This window comes from Homo sapiens, chromosome X (genome assembly GCF_000001405.40).
Source record: "Homo sapiens chromosome X, GRCh38.p14 Primary Assembly".
Lineage (NCBI taxonomy): Eukaryota > Metazoa > Chordata > Mammalia > Primates > Hominidae > Homo > Homo sapiens.
The window spans coordinates 54148703-54166349 of NC_000023.11; the positions used below are offsets into that span (position 1 = coordinate 54148703).

At 40.2% G+C, this 17647-nt stretch overlaps 1 protein-coding gene across 3 annotated transcripts in view; it reads right to left on the minus strand.

Annotated features, from left to right (window-relative positions):
- FAM120C (family with sequence similarity 120 member C) overlaps window positions 1-17647 on the minus strand; it is a 114931-nt gene that overhangs the window by 80379 nt on the left and 16905 nt on the right. For all 3 annotated transcript variants that reach the window (NM_001300788.2, NM_017848.6, XM_006724589.5), the window contains exons 2-4: window positions 10668-10914; window positions 8987-9069; window positions 2543-2671 (exon numbers count right to left, since the gene is read on the minus strand). In NM_001300788.2, the coding sequence (NP_001287717.1) occupies window positions 2543-2671; window positions 8987-9069; window positions 10668-10914 (459 nt within the window). The remainder of the gene's footprint in view (window positions 1-2542; window positions 2672-8986; window positions 9070-10667; window positions 10915-17647) is intronic.

Here is a 17647-nt window from a genome sequence, read left to right on the forward strand (position 1 = left end):
TACCACTACGCACCTATTAGAACAGCTATAAAAAACACTGACAATCTGTTGTATAACATGGCGGCTACAGTTAATAACAACGTATTATATTTTTGGAAATTACTAAAAGAGTAGATTTTAAATGTTCTCACCACAAAAAAATGAAAAGCATTTGAGGTAATATATATGTTAATTAGCTCGATTTAGCCATTCTATGATGTATACATATTTCAAAACACGTTGTATGCAATAAATATATCTAATTTTCATTTGTCAATTAAAAAAATAAATGGAAAAAAACCTGACAATACCAAATGCTGGTAAGGAATGGAACAGCTACTTTGGCAAGGTCTTATAAATTTAAACATACACTTACCACATGACCCTGAAACTCCATTTGTAGGTATTTACACCAGGGAAATAAAAACTTATGTTCATACAAAAACCTGTACACAAATGTTTATAGCAGCTCTATTCATAACACCATAAATCGAAATAAATCTAAATATTCTTTAACGGGTAAATGTATAAACAAACTGGCATATCCATGCAATGACTATTACTCAGCAATAAAAAGGAATGAATTATTGATACAGGTAACACGCAACAACTTAGAAGAATCTCAAAGGTAGTATGTTGAATTAAAGAAGCCGTTCTCAAAATATCACATACTGGGCCGGACGCGGTAGCTCACGCCTGTAATCCCAGCACTTTGGGAGGCCAAGACAGGTGGATCACCTGAGGTCAGGAGTTCGAAACCAGCCTGGCCAATATGCTGAAACCCCCTCTCTACTAAAAATATAAAAAATTAGCCAGGCGTGGTGGCGGGCGCCTGTAATTCCAGCTACTCTGGAGGCTGAGGTAGGAGAATCTCTTAAGCCAGGGAGGCGGAGGTTGTAGTGAGCCAAGATCATACCATTGCACTCCAGCCAAGGCAACAAGAGCGAGGCATTGTCTCAAAAAAAAAAAAAAATCACATACTGTATGATTCATGTGATATTCTTTAGAGGATGCAACCATAGTAACAGAAAATGAACTGGTGGTTGCCAGGGGTTAAAGGTAGGTTTGGGTGTTATTACAAAGGGATAGCATGTTTTTTGGGGTAGTACAACTGTTCTGTATTCTTATTGTGATGATGGTCACATAAATCAATACATGTGTTAAAATTCACAAGTCAGCTTGACTGTATGTTAATTTTAAAAATAAGTGAGAAATCCAAATTGAAAAATATAAATCAAATTGTTAAAAATAAAACTAACTTATTTTCATAATTTTTAGTTTCATTTTGTAGAATAAAATCCCAGTTGAGCTCTTTTTCCACTATTAACAATGAAATTTTCATTCTTGTTTTATGTGGACTCACTTTAAGCAGTCTTTTTTCTTTGCCCATTATCTTCCATTGAGGAAGAACTCCTTTATGTTAAGATACACAGATGCTCCTTGATTTATGACGGGGTTATGTCCCAATAAACACATCACAAGTTGAAAATATAGGTCAACAATCCATTTAATACACCTAGCCTACTGAACATCACAGCTTAGCCTAGCCCACCTTAAATGTGCTCAGAATACCTTACATTAGCATATAGCTCATCTAACACAGAGCCTATTTTATAATAAAGTATTGAATATCTCATGTAATATACTGAATACTATACTGAAAGTGAAAAACAGAATGGGTATATGGGTACTCAAAGTACAGTTTCTACTGAAAGCATATTGCTTTTACACTATTGGAAAGCAGAAAAATGTTAAGTTGAACCAACGTTAAGTCAGGGATCATGTGTACATTTTTAAAAATTTATTTTCAAATTTCTTTGGGGGAAAGAAAGGTCTTGCTATGTTGCTCAGGCTAGTCTCAAACTCCTAAGCTCAAGTAATCTTCCTGCCTTGGCCTCCCAAAGTGCTGGTATTACAGGTGTGAGCCACCATGTGTACACTGAAACAAAAAAAGACTAGAAAGACATATGTCAGAGTGGTAACTATAGCAAGTTGTTTATGGGTAATGATATTTTATGTAATTTGTTTTCATTTTCTAAATTTTCTAGAATGGGCTTATATTACTTTACCGATTTATTTTTTTTTAAGACGAAGTTTCACTCTGTCACCCAGGTTGGAGTGCAGCGGCGCAATCTCGGCTCACTGCAACCTCCGCCTCCTGGGTTCAATCAATTCTTCTGCTTCACCAAACCCAGCTAATTTTTTGTATTTCTAGTAGAGATGGGATTTCATCATGTTGGCCAGGCTGGTCTTGAACTTCTGACCTCAAGTGATCCACCCACCTTGGCCTCCCAAAGTGCTGGGAGTACAGGTGTGAGCCACCGTGCCCGGACTAGAATGGGCTTATATTACTTTAATCATCAGTAGAAAAAAAGGTAAAGGGCACTTTCAATCCAGGCTGTGTAATGTTTTTTAAAGGAAATTTTGGAGCTCTCATTTGTAAGCATGGAGAAGACAAGCAGCTAGGAAAACTTAGGTGTCACAGAAAAGATCAGGGACCTGCTGGTGTTGCTGAAGAAGGTAAGAAAACGGAGGACTCTTAGGAAGGGGAATGCTAACTTACCTGAGACTGTTTGAAAACATCCTTCCCAACTACATCCAGGTTTGAGGGATCTTTGATGGAACTGACATACTCAGAAACAGCCTTGATCACCACGTCACAGGGAGGAAGAACCAGCTGATGAGCTCGAACCTAGAAAGGCAAGATAAGCAAGGGACACTGACATCAAAGATGGATCACTAAGAAAAAGAGTGAAGTTGAGGGGAGATATGGAATTCACATTTGGTAAATCCACAGAGAGACAGTTAAAATATTTTCTTTAAAAATAGTTTTGCCCCTTCATTCTCAGTACAGAACACTTGGAAAAGATGGAAAAGTATAAAGCAATAAAAACATATCATCCATCTTCCTGCAGAGATAACTACTGTATATGACACTGTCACAATTAATCAGGCTTCCTTTCATGAGACATTTTGGCTTTTTTGCTATTAAATGTAATATTATAATGAGTTGACATTTGGATTCTGATTTGAACTAATCACAAAAGGCCATTTTAAGACAATCAGGAAAATCTGAAAATGGACTGGATATTAAGATGATACCAAGAAATTAGCATTAATTTTGTCAGGAGTAATAATGGCATTATGCTTATGTAAGAAAATGCCCAAGTATTTTAGAGATGTGTACTGAAGAATGTGAAAGGGATTTGCTTTAAAAAACATTAACAACAACAAAAAAACCCAGAAAGTGTGGCAAAATACTGGTAACTGTTGGATCTGGAACACGTTACAATGGTGATTTACTATATATTATGTTTCCTGTTTTTGTGATACCTAAACATTTTTTTTTTTTTTGAGACAGAGTCTCACTCTGTCATCCAGGCTGGAGTGTAGTGGTGCAATCTCGGCTCAATGCAACCTCTGCTTCCCGGGTTGAAGCGATTCTCCTGCCTCAGCCTCCCAAGTAGCTGGGATTATAGGCACGCACCACGACTGGATTTGCTCATAAAATATTCCCACTCTGAGATTATACAAAATTTCCCTCATGGTGTTGTCTATAATTATTATTATTTGTTTGAGACGGAGTCTTGCTCTGTCGCCCAGGCTGGAGTGCAGTGGTGCAGTAGGGATTGTCTAGAAAACAATTATGTGCACACATGTGCAGTTCCTGAGTTCAAGTAATTCTCCTGCCTCAGCCTCCCGAGCAGCTGGGATTACAGGCACCTGCCACCATGCCCGGCTAATTTTTGTATTTTTAGTAGGGACAGGGTTTCACCATGTTGGCCAGACTGGTCTTGAACTCCTGACCTCAAGTGATCCGCCTGCCATGGCCTCCCAAAGTGCTGGGATTACAGGCATGAGCCACTGCGCCTGGCCCTTAACAAATTTTTAAAGAAAAAGTTTTTAATGCTTTCATAAACTATAAGTATGACGTCTTGCCCACTTTCCAATTATTTAATTACAAGCTTCCTCAAACTGTAATTACTGAGGCAGAGGGTATAAATTTTCCAAAGGCTTCTGAATTTTTATAAATTGTTTTGCCAAAAGGCTTTATTATTCATTCCTTAAATATTTACTGCCTACTATGTGCCAGGCACTGTCCTAGGCACCAGGGAAACAGCAGTGAACAAGACAGACAAAAATCTCTGCCCTCATGGGAGCTTAAATTCTAGTGTAGATGTGTTGGGATAGGGTGAGGGAAGTTAAACTAAATAAGTAAAATGTATAGTGTAGGCTGGGCGCGGTGACCCATGCCAGTAGTCCCGGCACTCTGGGAGGCGGAGGCTGGCGGATCACCTGAGGTCAGGAGTTCGAGACCAGCCTGGCCAACATGGTGAAACCCCGTCTCTACTAAAAATACAAAAATTAACCGGGCTTGTACTAGATGTAGATAAGTGCTGTGCAGAGAAGAGTAGAGAAGAAGCTAGGGAATGCAAATATGTATGTGCTAATTGTTTTCTAAACAATCCCTACTGCAGAAGTGTGTGCATATAATTTTTTATAGGGTGATCAGGAAAAGCCTCACTGAGAATGAAATTTTAGAAAACCTTCAGGATTGAAGAAATAGCTATGAGGGGAAAAGTATTCCAAGTAGGGAGAATGATAAGTGCAAAGGTTCTAAGAGCAAAAGAAAGAAAGAGATCAGATATGAGAGGGGGCCACAGTAAAGGGCTTTGCAGGCCATGGTAAGGATTTGGAGAGTGACATGAAGAGCCACTGGATAATATATTTTTTTTTTTTTTTTGAGACGGAGTCTTGCTCTGCCACCCAGGAGGAAGTACAGTGGCACGATCTCGACTCACTGCAACCTCTGCCTCCTGGGTTCAAACAATTCTCCTGCCTCAGCCTCCCGAGTAGCTAAGGTTACAGGCACACAACACCACGCCCAGCTATTTTTTTTTTTTTTGAGACACAGTCTTGCTGTCGCTCAGGCTGGAGTGCAGTGGCATGATCTCGGCTCACTGCAACCTCCACCTCCTGGGTTCAAGAGATTCTCCTGCCTCAGCCTCCTGAGTAGCTGGGATTATAGGTGAGCACCACCATGCCCAGCTAATTTTTGTATTTTTAGTAGAGATGAGGTTTCACCATGTTGGTCAGGCTGGTCTCAAACTCCTGACTTCATGATCTGCCCGCCTTGGCCTCCCAAAGTGCTGAGATTACAGGCTTGAGCCACCACGCCCGGCCTTTTAAAAAATTTTTAGTAGAGATGGGGTTTCACCATGTTGGCCAGGCTGGTCTCGAACTCCTGACCTCAAGTGATCCACCCGCCTCAGCCTCCCAAAGTGCTGGGATTACAGGTGTTAGCCACAGTGCCCGGCCAAGGATTTTGAATGGAGAAGTGACAGGATCTCAGTGGTTTTTTTTTTTTTTTAAAAGGGTCGCTCTCCTGTTATATTGAGAATAAAATGGAGGTAAGGGGAAGAGTGTAAGTAGAAGACCAATAGTTAGTAAGCTATTATAATAATCCAGGCAAGAAATAATGGTGGCTTGGCCAGGGTAGCAGCAGTGCAAATGTTAAGAAGTAGGTATATTTTTGAAGGGAGAGCTGATGGTATTTGCTGACAAATGAGATGTGGGGTATGGGAGGGGTGGGGGGGAGTCAGGATGACCCCCAAGGATTTTAGCCTGAGAAAATGGAAGGATGGGCTGAGTGCAGTGGCTCACACCTGTAATCCAGCACTTTGGGAGGCCAAGGTGGGCGGATCACTTGAGCTCAGGAGTTTGAGACCAGCCTGGCCAACACGGTGAAACCCTGTCTATACTAAAAATACAAAAATTAGTTGGATGTGGTGGCACACACCTGTAGTCCCAGCTACTCAGGAGGCTGAAGCAGAAGAATCACTTGAATCCAGGAGGTGGAGACTGCAGTGAGCTGAGACTGTGCCACTGCACTCTAGCATGGGCAACACAGCGAGACTCCATCTCAAAAAAAAAAAAAAAAAAAAGGGAAGAAAGAAAATGGAAGGATGAAGTTGCCTTCAACAAAAATGAGGAAGGCTGTGGGAGAAACATGTTTAGGGAGAAGATCAGGAATTTCCACTTGAACATATAACTTTGAGATACCTATTGGATATGTAAATGAAAATATTGAATTGGCAGTTAGATATTAAAATCTGGAGTTCAAAGGAGAGGTCAGAGCTGAAGACATAAAACTTAGGAGTCATCAACGGACAGATGGTATTTAAAGTCATTAAGACTATATGAGATCAATCGTATGTGGAGACAGAAAAGAGAAGGGGCCGGGCATGGTGGCTCACGGCTATAATCCCAACACTTTGGGAGGCTGAGGTGGGAAGATCGCTTGAGCATAGGAGTTTAAGACCAGCCTGGGCAACATGGTGAGATCACATCTCTACAAAAAATACAAAAAAAATTAGCCAGCCGTGATGGCATGTGCCTGTAGTCCCAGCTACTTAAGAGGCTGCTGCAGGAGGACCAATTGAGTCCGGGAGTTCGAGGCTGTAGTGAGCCATGATCGCCCCACTGCACTCTAGGCTGGGCAACAGAATGAGACCGTGTCTCAAAAACAAACAAACAAACAAATAAAACAAATCAGAAAAGAAAAGAGAAAGGAACCAGGATGGAACTCTGGGCTATTCCACCTTTAACAAGTGGAAAAGACAAGGAAGCAGCAACAGAGACTGGGAAGCGGCAGTCAGCGAGGTAGGAAGGAAATAAGAAGAGAATAGTGTCCTTAAGGCCAAGTGAAAAAAGTGTTCTATGGAAGAATGGGTGAGTATCTGTGTCAAATGCTGCTGACTGGTCAAGTAAAATGAAAACTGACAGCTAGCCACTGGGTTTATTAACTGAGAAGTTATACTGGTGACCCTGTTGAGAGCAATTTCAGCAAATCAATTGAAAAGCAAACAGGGGAAGGGAATAGTAAGCAACTCATGTGTAGACAAGTCTTTAGAGGAGTTTTCTATAAGAAGAAATATAGAGCAGTAGCTTGGGTGGGGAGAGTGAGGTCAGAGGCTTTTTTAAAAAAAAAATAAAGTTGTATTTTTAAACTTCATAGATGCATGCTTACACAATCTGGAAAGAGCCAATGAAAAGAGGAAAATTGATGATGCAGGAGAAAAAGGGGGAGAATTGCTGAACTGATGCTCTTAAGTTGGCCAAAGGAGATGGGAGCTGTGCCTGATAGTCCCAGCTACTCAGGAGGTTTAGGCAGGAGGATTGATCACTTGAGCTATGATTGTGCCACTGCACTCCAGCCTGGGCAGCATAGCAAGACCCTGTCTCTTAAAAAAAATTTTTTTAAATAAATAGAGATGGGACCTAGTATAAGTAGAGGGATTTGCCTTAGATAGGAACATGGACAGGTCATGCACAATTAATAGGAGGCAGGCAGAATATGTGGCCACAGAGGGGATAACACCTTCATATAGGTGAGGTGAAGAGGGGGTAAGAACTCATCGAAGTTTTCTTCCCATTGCTTCCATTTTCTCAGTAAAACAGGAAGTGAGGTCATGAACTGAGAGTGAGCAAATGAGGAGAAAGTATTAGAGGCTTGAGGACAGAGAAGGTATGAAACAGTCATCTAGGAGAATGAAAGAACGAGGGAAATAGAATACAATCACCAACTTATACTACCACCAGAAGTGTATGCGGGTATCAGTCTCACAACAGTCTTTTTTTTTTTTTTTTTTTTTTTTGAGTCAAGAGTCTCACTCTGTCACCCAGGCTAGACTGCAGTGGTGCGATCTCGGCTCACTGTAACCTCTGCCTCCTGGGTTCAAGCGATTCTCCTGCCTCAGCCTCCTGAGTGGCTGGGACTACAGGCACGTGCCACCACACCTGGCTAATTTTTGATTACAGGCATGAGCCACCGTGCCCTGGCTGCAACAGTCTTGATAACAGTGGGTAAACTAATTTTTCAATATTTGTTCAACTGTTAAGTTAAAAAAAAAAATTCACAGTGGCCGAGTGTGGTAACTCATTCCTGTAATCCCAGCACTTTGGGAGGCTGAGGTGGGAAGATCACTTGAGATCAAGAGTTCGAGACCAGCCTCGCCAACACAGTGAAACCCTGTCTCTATTAAAAATACAAAAATTAGCTGGGCATGGTGGTGCATGCCTGTAATCTCAGCTACTCGGGAGGCTGAGACAGGAGAATTGCCTGAACCTGGGAGGTGGAGGTTGCAGTGAGCTGAGATTGCAACACTGAACTCCAGCCTGGGTGACGGAGTAAGACTTTGCCTCAAAAAAAAAAAAAAAAAAAAAAATGAGCCAGGCCTGTAATCCCAGCTACTTGGGTGGCTGAGGCACGAGAATTGCTTGAACCCAGGAGGTGGAGGTTGCAGTGAGCTGGCTGAGATCGTGCCACTGCATTCCAACCTGGACAACAGAGTGAGACTCTGTCTCAAAAAAAAAGAAAAATCACACTGATCATTTAATTTACATGTCTGATCAATAGTGAGGTTGAACATCTAGTCATTGTATTTTCTCTCTTGTGAATTTTCTGCTTCTGTCCTTTGTTCATTATTTCATTATTGGGTTATCGGTATATTTCTTTATAGACTTGTATGAATTCTTGAGATATTAAGGGTATTGATCATAACCAAGTTTTTCTTTTTTGTCTTTTTTTTTAGATGGAGTCTCGTTTTGTTGCCCAGGCTGGAGTGCAGTGGCACGATCTTGGCTCACTGCAATCTCTGCCTCCCAGGTTCAAGCGATTCTCCTGTCTTAGCCTCCTGAGTAGCTGGGGTTATAGGCGCCTGCCACTACGCTCAGCTAATTTTTGTATTTTTAGTAGAGACGAGGTTTCACCATGTTGGCCAGGCTGGTCTTGCATTCTTAACCTCAGGTGATCTGCCCACCTCGGCCTCCCAAAGTGCTGGGATTACAGGTGTGAGTCACCACCGCACCTGGCCATAACTAATATTTTTTTCTTTTGTATGTATGTGAAATATTTTAAATCTAATGTAAGATAATTATTCCATCAAAACTCCAATCAAAACCTCATATCCCCTAATCTGTATAGGCAAGAAATAGGAAACATTACCTTAAGTGATGCAAGAGGATGTTCTGGTCCCAAGAGGCTCCAGTGAAAAGCAGCCAGGTCCTCATCTGGGAGGATGTGGTTACCTATAAAGTACATTTGTCATTCATTGACTGTACAAATGTTTTCTTAGAACCTCCAGGCCATGAAAGGGGTCCTGGGAGAGAAAATGATCAAATAATTCACATAGGTCTGTATTCTTAATGTAATACTTACAGTAGTTCTGTGTTGATCACTTAATATGTTTCATGTGCATTATATGTATCATCTTTATAATGCCTATGGATGGTAGTATTATCATTTACATTTACAGATAAAGAAACTGAGGTTCAGACATGTTTGGTGACTTGGCCCAATGTGGTCTGGCCAATAGGTACACACACCAAGATAAAAAGCTAGGAATGTAACTCCAAAGCCCATGCTATTACTTATCCCCTAAGTCATGTTGCCTTTTATAATAGCAGCCACCAATTACTAACTGCCTAATGAGTGCTGGGCATTTTGTACACTTTATTTCATTTCACTTTACCAATAACATCATGAGGTATTATTATCCGCATTTCACAGATGAGAAAACTGAAACCAGGGAGATGTCACTTCAGTGATTTGCCAATGGCCTAATTCCAAAACTTGTGCTGACTCCACTATATTATCCAAACTCATGTCCTTTGGAATTATAGAGCAAAGGCCATGCCTGAGACAGAATACTAACCTTCATGCGCTAAGTACTTGAAAAACCAATTCAAAACATAATCAACTCTCTGCAATTTACTTTGAAACACATCTTTAAGAGATATATTGGGCCAGGCACGGTGTCTCACGCCTGTAATCCCAGCACTTTGGGAGGCCGAGGCGGGTGGATTGCTTGAGGTCAGGAGTTCAAGACCAGCCTGACCAACATCGTGAAACCCTGTCTCTACTAAAAATATAAAAATTAGCTGGGCATGGTGGCAGGTGCCTATAGTCCCAGCTATTCAGGAAGCTGAGGCAGGAGAATCACTTGAACCTGGGAGGCGGAGATTGCAGTGAGTCGAGATCGTGCCACTACACTCCAGCCTGGGCGACACAGCGAGACTCTGTCTCAAAAATAAATAAAATAAAATAAGAGACAGATTGATGGATGGGTAAAGGAATGGATAGATATATAAGGCAATTAGAGTAAAATGTTAATGGCAGAATACAGGTGGTGGATATAGGGTTTTTACTGCAAAGCCCTTTTTCAATTTTGCTGTATATTTGGAAATTTTCATAAAAAATATTAGCACAAAAGAAACAAAGAGAAAAACATAATGAACAATTTGTCTTTCCGATCTAAATTGAGACACTGGGGAAGAAATGTTAATGCTCTGTGTGGGGAACCAAAGTTGTCTCGGCCTAATAAAACATTTGGCTTGAGAATACTCTGCATAAAAGAGTTATAAAATGTAGCAAAAGAAGGCGGCTTACAGGAATCTAAATAATGTTCTGGAATAACCTGTAGCAACCCACAAAACAAACATGCTGAGTTTTAGTGTGCTCTACCAAGAAGCCCAAAAACCATGCTGAGTTCTCCCCAGCAGTGTTTAGCGTGAAGACTTTAAGAAGACAAATCTAATGATGACAGGCTAAATCACTCTAGTCCTCATCTCTTAACACCAGAAGAGGAAACTACCAATCACTGCAGTCTTTTCTTTGGATGACCTACCTAGCAGTGCAGCAAATATGGGGAAATTCATCCTCTTCAGGCCCAGCTGCTTGGCTACTTCTTGCATCAGGAACTGGTTGGTAGTGAGGTTCTTCCCATTCCAGCTCAGTTTCAGAGCATGGGAACTGTAGTAAGAGGGAATATTGTAGAGAGCATACTCGGAGTCATGGGCAAGAAGGCCATGGAAGCCATTTTCCCTGAAAAACGCCACCACTTCCAAATGGTGGTCTTCAAGGCTCTGAAAGACCTAGAAGGGAAGAAGAGAACGTGTCATGCCACAGAACCTGATTTGTATTGTTAGAAGGTCAGGAGGTTTAGCAACTAAATTTTATAGTTTGGTGAAATTTGAAATTGTACGTGAGAGAACAGAACATTCTTTTAACATTTTTTACTTTTTTTTTTTTTTTTTTTTAAATACAGAGATGAGATCTCACTGTTACCCAGGCTGGTCTCGAATTCCTGAGCTTAAGTGATCCTCCCGCCTTGGCCTCCCAAAGTGCTAGGATTACAGGTGTGAGCCACTGTGCCCAACCAGAACAGAATACTCTTAAAAAACAAAACAAAAATGCTCTCCCACTCTACAATTTGATTATTACTGTAAACACAGACAGCGTTTGTGTTTATTCCCCTGGTTTTTTTTTCACTCCTTTCATGAAACTTGCCCTGAGGCTCTTCAAAATTAGAATACTGAAATTAACGAGGTATATATTACTTTTTACGTCAAACAATAACATTAGAGACTTCTGTTAGATAATAAAGCTATTATTTATTGCTCAATATCTATGTGCTGTACATATTTTATATATATTATCTCATCATTAACCTTAGGTAGGTACATATGGATGAAAAACTTAGACGTAGAAATAGACACAGAAATCTAAGTTTATCTAACTGTTTTCAAAAAGTCTTTGCTTTTTTTCTTAGTAGCACTGTACATCGCAGGGCACCCAAACAGTTGCACTTCCAACAGTGAGAAGTCAGAAACTACACCCCATTTTAGAAATGGGGAAACTAAGGCTACGAGAGATTGGCTGCCCCCAAAGTTGCATAATGGGTGAGTGTGGTAGACAGGATTCAAATCCAGGCTGATCTCACTCCGGAATGCACACTTTCTGTTGTACCACGCTTCTTCCTGGAGATCACTATTTTTTATGTAATAGAGGTAAACTGTTAAGTACTCTTCCTGTACATGCCTCTATTGCTGTACTTGAAGTATACTGAAATTATCTGTATACCGGCTCCACCAAATTAAGTTCCTTGACCATAGAGAGAAATTACCTCTGTATTCCTGGCTCTCACATAAGACCTGGTACGTAATAGTAATAATAATGGCTAACAGATACTGAATATGTACTATGTGCATTAACTCATTTAATACTCACAACAACCTTGTGAGGGCATACCTATTATTACTATCCCCATTTTACACATTGTTAGCCCCAAGGTCATATGGCTAGGAGGAGCAAAGCCCAGATTTTGGCTCTAGAGCCTGTGGACCTTGATAGTTTTTTTCAACTCAACTATCTGTCATTTAAGTTGGAATGGTAGTTTTCTGGAGTTTAACAGGAGTTTCAATGCATTAAACTTTTGCTAGATTATGGAAAAGGAGTCTAGTTACAGTTGCTAGTCATGTCACACACAAGGGGAGAGACACCAGTAAGCAGACAGTGAAGCAAGGTCGATATTTATTTGATATCCAGGCAAAGGAGCCAAAAAGTATTGTAACATATTTATGCCTTAGAGATATGAGTAACTCCAGATGTGTCAGGGTAGGAGTAAAGTTTTATGCTGTCCCCTGGTAATAGTTTCTTCCAGCACACCACTCATACAAGTCATTGGTTGAGCATCCATTTACCTTGTACCAGAGATAGTTACTAAGTGTGATATTTTCTCTCTCTTCATCACAACCTCACCATGCAGGTATTAGAAGCCCCATTTTACAGATGAGGGAACTGAGGCTCAGAAAAGTAAGATGCCATACTCAGAGCTATCGAGCTGGGAAACAGCAACCTGGGTCACATTGACATCAAAGTCTCTAGGTGTCACCAAAGACCCTCTCCACTACAACACTTAATCTTCAGCTGGTCTGAAGCTGATTATGCCACCATTCAAGTGATTTCAACTCCAGAAAGCCAAGGACTAGTGATTTTTAATCAATTTGGTAGCTCTTAAAACACTAGGAATGTATATCACAACCACCTGGAGATCTTTTTCAAAATATACAAACCTAAGCTTCACCTCAGATCTGCTGGAATAACTTATTTCTTGTTTTGTTTTTTGGAAACAGAGTCTTACTCTGTCACCCAGACTGGAGTGCAGTGGCCTGATCTCGGTTCAGTGCAACCTCCATGTCCCAGGTTCAAGCAATTCTCCTGCCTCAGCCTCCTGAGTAGCCGGGGCTACGGGCGCATGCCACCACACCTGGCTAATTTTTGTATTTTTAGTAGAGACGGGGTTTCACCATGTTGGCCAGGCTGGTCTCAAACTCCTGACCCCAGGTGATCCACCGGCCTTGGCCTCCCAAAGTGCTGGGATTACAGGCGTGAGCCACTGTACCCAGCCTGGAACAATGTCTTGAGTGTGATCCAAACACCTACATTTCAAAACAGTTTCCAGTAGGTTCTCATGCACACCTCCAATTAAGAATCACTGAACTAATCCAATTATTCATTTTATCACATAGGCAACTGAGGCCTAGAGGGGATAAATGACTTGACCTAGCTAATTGCAGCCGAACCAAGATTAGAACAAAAGTCTCATGATTCCAGGTATAGGACTTCTTTCACTAAATATTCTGGAGTAGGTAATGAAAAACAATAGAGTAAGAATCTCATGAATTCCTCTCACAATTCCGCAATACCTCTCTCCTAACAGGCTAATTTCCTAACTACCCATTTCCAAGATTACTCCTCCTTCCCTGTCTTTGCTCACTTGGTTTCCCTGCCTAGAATGCCTTACTGCCTCTCTTTCCCAATGTTCTGAATACTTTCCATAGGCCTGCCACCTCTTGGACAAATTCCTTGATAATTCCCCTCCTCTTCACTCTTATAGCACAGAGACAGATGACACAGTCACAGAACTAATTTGACAATACCATCATCTTCAAGTTTTAAGGTCACAGGTTCTATCTTACTCTTTTATCTCCATGGTTCTAACCATGTCCTTCCAACTAGAAAGGACAGAGAACAGGAGTTGATTGGTACAGAATAGTAAAGAAAGGCCTAGTGAGATTGTTAAAAACAAAAACAGCTCTGGCAAATGAGAGGGCACTATCATCTCAGCGTTTAACTTCTACAGCAGATGTAGTGAAGTCACTAGATTGCAAGCTATCCAAGCTCGAGTAGCAAAGTAGTATTAGGTATCAATTAAGTACCTACTATGTACCAGGCACTGTTCCAAACCCCCCTCACATCCACTAACCTTGCAATAACATCAGGAGGCATTATTATCTTCATTTTAAAGACAAACGATCAATGAGGGTCAGAGGTTAGAGAACTTGACCAAAGTCACATAGCTAAAAAGTGAAGCTAGCCAATAAGCACATGACAAGCTGCTCAACATTATTAGTCATTATAGAAATGCCCATCAAAACCAAAATGAGACACCAGTTAGCACCCACTAGGATGGCTATAATCAAAAAATGGAAAATAATGAGTGTTGGCAAGGATGCAGAGAAACTGGAATCCTCGTAAATTGCTAGTGGGAATGAAAAATGGTGCAGTCACTTTGGAAAGTGGTCTCAGAGGTCCTGAAATGGTTAAACATAGTTATCTCATATGATCCAATGATTTCACTCCTAAGTATATACCCAAGAGAACTGAAAATCTATGTTCACACAAAAACTTGTACATGAAAGTTCACAGCAGGCTTACTCATAATAGCCCAAAAGTGGAAATAACCCAAATGTCTATCAACTGATGAATGAACAAAATGTGGTATATCCATAAAAGGAAATATTATTTGGCAATAAAAAGGAATGAAGTGCGGATTTATGCTACAACATCAATGAACTTTGAAAACAGAATGCTAATGTGAAACAAGCCAGACACAAAAAGCCATATATTGTATGACTTCTTTCATATGAGATGCCCAGAATAGGCAAATCCAAAGAGATGGAAAAATAAAATAGTAGTTGCCAGGGATTGTGGGGATGGGGAATAAGACTAGTACGTATTGGTTTACCCTTTGAGGTTATAAAAATCTTCTGGAATTAGTGGTGATAGCTGCACAATGCTATGAATATACTAAAGACCATTAAATTGTATACTTTAAAATGTTGAATTTTATGGTATATGAGTTATACCTCGATTTTTAAAAATTGGAGCTAGGATTCAAATTCAGCTCTGTTTACAAATCCCAAGCTCCCCTAAGGCTTTAAGAACTTTAATAACTTTTTATTATGGAAAATTTTAAATATACAAAGGTAATGAGACCCCATGAAAGCATTACCCACTTTCAATTGTTATCAATGTTAAGTCATTCGTTTCATCTACCTTGCCCCCCTCCTTTTTATGTTGTGTGTGTGTGTGTGTGTGTGTGTATGTGTGTATATATACATATATATATATATTTTTTTTTTTTGAGACAGAGTCTCGCTCTGTTGCCCAGGCTGGAGTGCAGTGGCGCGATCTCGGCTCACCGCAACCTTCGCCTCCCAGGTTTAAGCGATCCTCCTGCCTTAGCCCCCCTAGTAGCTGGATTATAGGCACATGCCACCAGGTCCGGCTAATTTTTGTATTTTTAGTAGAGACAGGGTTTCACCATGTTGGTCAGGCTGGTCTCGAACTCCTGGCCTCAGGTGATCCACCCGCCTCAGCCTCCCAAAGTGCTGGGATTAGAGGCGTGAGCCACCGTGCCTGGCCTTTTTATGGTATTTTAATATTTTTTGTTGTGATTGAAAACCACATAAAATTTACCAACTTGACTATTTTTAAGTGTACAGTTCAGCTGTGTTATGGATATTCACATTGTTATACAACGTATCTCCAGAATTTTTTCATCTTGCAAATCTGAAATTCTATATCCATTAAATAACAGCTCCCTTTTCTCCCTCCTCCTAGCTCTTGGTAACCACAATTCTATTTTCTGTCTCTATGAATTTGACTACTTTAGGTACCTCATATAAGCGGAATCATATGGAATTTGTCCTTTTGTGACTGGCTTATTTCACTTAGCATAATGTCCTCAAGTGTTCATCCATATTGTAGCATGTGACAGGATTTCTTTCCTTTTTAAGGCTGAATAATATTCCATTGTATGCTATACATTTTGTTTATCCATTCATCCATCAACAGACATTTGGGTTGCTTCCAACTCTTGGCTACTGTGAATAGTACTGCTATGAACATGGGTGTGCAAATATCTCTTAGAGATCCTGCTTTCAATTGTTTTAGATATATACTCAGAAGTGGAATTGCTGAATTATATGGTAGTTTTATTTTTAATATATTAAGGAACCTCCATACTGTTTTCCACAGCAGCTGCAGCATTTTACAATCCCACCAACAGTGCATAAGGGTTCCAATTTATCCACATCCTTGTCAACACTTATTTTTTTGTGTGTTTTTTTTAACAGTAGCCATCCTAATGAGTGTGAGGTAATATCTCATTGTGGTTTTGATTTGCATTTCTTGGAGGATTAGTGATGTTGAATATCTTTTCATAAGCTATTGACCATTCCTGGCATATCTTAAAGCAAATTCCAGACATCAAATCACTTCACCCATAAATACTTCATTATTTAACTCTCACAGTTAAAGTAACAAACACTACCATTATTACACCCAACAAAATTAACAATTTCTTAATATCATAATATCTAGTGCCTATTCTACTTTCTATGATTGTCCCGAAAATGTCTTTCGATGGTTGCTTTGTTCAAATCAGGATTCAAACAGAATCCACATGCTGTATTTCGTTGATATGGCTTCTAAGGACCTTAATGTATAGCAGTTCCCCTTCCCTTTATTTATATGCCATTTATTTGTTTAAAAAATCCAGTTTTTAGATTAGAAAAGTAATATAGATTATTTAACAAATGGTGTTGGGATAACTGAAGAGTCATTTGAGGAGAAAAACATGGATCCATACTTCACACTTTAACTAGGATAACCATGAAAATCATAGGCCAGGCACGGTGGCTCATGCCTGTAATCCCAGCACTTTGGGAGACCAAGGCGGGCAGATCACTTGAGGTCAGGAGTTCAAGACCAGCCTGGCCAACATGGTGAAACCCCGTCTCTACTAAAAATACAAAATTTAGCCAGGTATCGTGACTGGTGCCTGTAATCCCAGCTACTCGGGGGGCTAAGGCAGGAGATTTGCTTGATCTCAGGAGGTAGCGGTTGTAGTGAGCCAAGACCGCGCCACTGCACTCCAGCCTGGGCAACAGAGCAAGACTACATCTCAAAAAAAATAATAATAATAAAAATAAAAAAATAATAAAATACACCATGAGGGAAATTTTGTATAATCTCAGAGTGGGGATAGTTTATGAAGAAATCCAGTAACACCCCCAGAAAACGGTCAATACTCTTGACTATATGAAAATCAAACATTTCCACAGTATGAACGTATAAATGACTGATGAATAAGAAAAAAAAATCAAACATTTCTGCTTGGGAAAAACCCATGTAAGTAAGCTCAAAAGACAAATGACAATCTGCAAAAAAATTTGCAACTTACAGTGCAGAGGACTAATTTCCTTAATAGAGAAGGGAAAAAACCTAACAATGTAAGAGAACATTTCACAAAAAAGGAAACAAACAGATTTTAAGCATATAAAAAGATGATCAAACTCACTGGTGATAAGAGAAATAAAAATTAAAATAATACTGAAACATGATGTTTCACGTACAAGATTAGCAAATAATGTATTGGTGAAGGAAACAGGCACTTGCAAACATTCCTGGTAGGGGTATAACGGTAGAATCTCTAGGGAGAGCGATTTGGCAAGACCTTTCAAAATTACAAATGTGCAT